This window comes from Homo sapiens, chromosome 3, assembly GCF_000001405.40.
Source record: "Homo sapiens chromosome 3, GRCh38.p14 Primary Assembly".
NCBI classification, from domain to species: Eukaryota; Metazoa; Chordata; class Mammalia; order Primates; family Hominidae; genus Homo; species Homo sapiens.
The window spans coordinates 63,096,016-63,099,082 of NC_000003.12; the positions used below are offsets into that span (position 1 = coordinate 63,096,016).

At 46.3% G+C, this 3,067-nt stretch overlaps 1 pseudogene, besides 2 other annotated features; it reads right to left on the bottom strand.

Moving 5' to 3' along the window:
• Positions 231 to 1,740, bottom strand: KRT8P35 (keratin 8 pseudogene 35; annotated as a pseudogene).
• Positions 510 to 1,009: an enhancer, noted in NCBI's record as "H3K4me1 hESC enhancer chr3:63082201-63082700 (GRCh37/hg19 assembly coordinates)". NCBI's record gives its function as "activates a minimal SCP1, AML or CMV promoter by ChIP-STARR-seq in naive H9 embryonic stem cells {active_cell/tissue: H9 hESC(naive)}" and the evidence as "EXISTENCE:reporter gene assay evidence [ECO:0000049][PMID:30033119]".
• Positions 1,057 to 1,557: an enhancer, noted in NCBI's record as "H3K4me1 hESC enhancer chr3:63082748-63083248 (GRCh37/hg19 assembly coordinates)". NCBI's record gives its function as "activates a minimal SCP1, AML or CMV promoter by ChIP-STARR-seq in naive H9 embryonic stem cells {active_cell/tissue: H9 hESC(naive)}" and the evidence as "EXISTENCE:reporter gene assay evidence [ECO:0000049][PMID:30033119]".

The window sequence follows — 3,067 nt, forward strand, 5'->3', positions numbered from 1 at the left end:
GGGATTGCCATGACCTCTTGCATCTTAACTCTGTCTCAGAAGATTAAATCTATCTCATACTCTCATATTTTAAAAAAATCTATTTAATACTTTAAGCTTCAGTTCCTGTTGCCAATCACCTCATTTCTTATGAGTTTTAAAATTCAAATTATCAAGAGCAAGAATCCAGTTAGTCCAGCTCCTTTTCGGGGGCCAGCCTAGGTTACTGGGAAGCCTGTGTATGCATTGACTGGGCTGAGGGCTGGGGCTGAGCCTGAGGTGGGTCTTCTGTTCCCTGTGCTCCCCTGCACAGCAGCCTCCCTTATGGGCTATGGGGCAGCCGCAGGAGGGGCAGGCTGAGAGGGGCTGCCACAGCTTTTCACTTTGGCTGGATGTCAGAGGACTCGGACACCAGCTTCCCATCGCAGGTCTCAATCATCTTCACGACCACGGCCCTGGCGGAACTGGTGCGGCTGAAGGAGGGGGACCCCGCGCCAGAGCCAAAGCTAGAGCCCAGGCCATAGCTGAGACCGGGCTTGTGAGACCCCCATAGGCTGAGCTCAGCACACCTCCACCGCCACTGGTGGTCTTCTATGGATACTCCTGTTCTGCATCCCAGACTCCAGCCGGCTCTCCTTGCCCTCCAGCAGCTTCCTGTAGGTGGCGATCTCTATGTCCAGGGCCAGCTTGACGTTCATCAGCTCCTGGTATTCACGCAGCTGCCACGCCATGTCCTGCTTGGCCCGCTGCAGGGCGGCCTCCAGCTCGGACAGCTTGGCGTTGGCATCCTTAACCACCAAATCCCCGTGCAGCTCGGCATCTGTGATGGCGGCCTCCAGGGAAGCCCTCTGGTCAACATGAGCCTGGAGCTGGCTGATGTTCCCGTATATCTAGGAGATCTCAGTCTGTGCGCCGCCGGTCATCCCCGTGCTTCCCAGCCAGCGTCTGCAGCTCCTCATACTTGATCTGGTACATGCTCTCGGCCTCAGCCCGGCTGCAGTTGGCGATCTCCTCCTACTGTGCCTTGACCTCAGCAATGATGCTGTCCATGTCCAGGGAGCAGCTGTTGTCCATGGACAGCACCACAGACGTGTCTGAGATCTGGGACTGCAGCTCCCGGATCTCCTCTTCATATAGCTGCATGAGGAAGTTGATCTCGTCAGTCAGCCCTTCCAGGCGAGACCCTAGCTCTACCTTGTTCATGGAAGCTTCATCTGCATCCTTCTTGATGAGGACAAATTCATTCTCCATCTCTGTACGCTTATTGATCTCATCCTCATACTTGTTCTTGAAGTCCTCCACCAGCGGCTGCATGTTGCCAAGCTCCGCCTCCAGCTTCAGCTTCTCCTGGCCCAGTCTCCAGCTGCCACCTAAGGTTGTTGACGTAGCTCTCAAACATGTTGTCCATGTTGCTCCGAGCCGTCTGCTGCTGCTGCAGGAGGCTCCACTTGGTCTCCAGCATCTTGTTCTGCTGCTCTAGGGACCTTACCTTGTCGACGAAGGAGGCAAACTTGTTGAGGGTCTTGATCTGCTCCTCCTGGGTGCGCATGGCCTGGATATTGGGGTCCACCTCCAGGTTAAGGGGGCTCAGCAGGCTTTGGTTGACCGGGACGGTGGTGATGCCTCCCACACCGCTGGTCCCACCATAGCCTCCACCCAGGCCACCTCGGAAGCTGCTGCTGCCCACTTAAGAGAAGTTCGAGGAGCTGAGCGGGCTGAACCAGGCAGAAATTCCAGTAGGAGTGGAGAAGCTGCTTCTTGCTCCAATATGTAGTCTTTTATCCCTCACCTACCTCCTACCCTTCCCCCTTAAGTCCTCAAAGTCCATTATAACATTCTTATGCCTTTGCATCCTTATAGCTTACCTCCCACTTAGAACATATGGTATTTAGTTTTTTATTCCTGAGTTACTTCACTTAGAATAATGGCCTCCAGCTCCATCCAAGTTGCTGCAAAAGACATTATTCCATTTCTTTTTATGGCTGAGTAGTATTCCATGGTGTATATATACAACATTTTCTTTATCCACTTGGCCGATGGGAACTTAGATTGGTTCCACATTTATACAATTGCAAATTGTGCCACTATAAACGTGTGTGCATGTGTCTTTTTCATATAATGACTTCTTTTCCTTTGGGTAGATATCTAGTAGTGGGACTGCTACATTGAATGGTAGTTCTACTTTTAGTTCTTTAAGGAATCTCCATACTGTTTTCCATAGTGGTTGTACTAATTTACATTCCCACCAGCAGTGTAAAAGTGTTCCCTTTTCAACAAATTCATGCCAGCATCTATTGTTTTTTCACTTTTTAATTATGGTCACTCTTGCAGGAGTAAGGTCGTATCTCATTGTGGTTTTAATTTGCATTTTCCTGATCATTAGTGATATTGAGCATTTTTTTCATATGTTTTTTGGTTGTTTATATATCTTATTTTGAAAATTGTCTATTCATTCCTTTGCCCACTTTTTGATAGAATTATTTGTCTTCGCCTTCTGAATTGTTTGAGTTACCTGTAGATTATGGATATTAGTTCTTTTTCAGATGCATAGTTTGAGAATATTTTCTCCCACTCCGGAGTTCTCTGTTAACTCCTCTGTTGGTTATCTCTTTTGCTGTGCAGAAGCTTTTTAGTTTAATTACGTCCCATCTATTTATTTTTGTTTTTGTTGCATTTGCTTTTGCGTTCTTAATCATGAATTCTTTGCCTAAGTCAATGCCTAGAAGAGTTTTTCCAATGTTATCTTCTAGAATTTTTATGGTTTCAGGTCTTAGATTTAAGTCTTTTATCCATCTTGAGTTGATTTTTCTATAAGGTGAGGGATGGGGACCCAGTTTCATTCGTCTACATGTGGCTTGCTTAGCTGGGACTTTTTAAACTGTATACAATATACACTTTATGTAAAAAAATAATAAGTAACATAGTTTAATGTTTTTTATATATATATATATTATATATAGAGAGAGAGTTTAAAAATAAAAGGAAATGTTTATGCTTGATTCAGCAGTGCTACCAAGTAACAGGGACTTTCTTTCTTTTCCTCTAGCCTTATCTTCCCTTTCTGTTAGTATCACTCTCAAGTAAAATT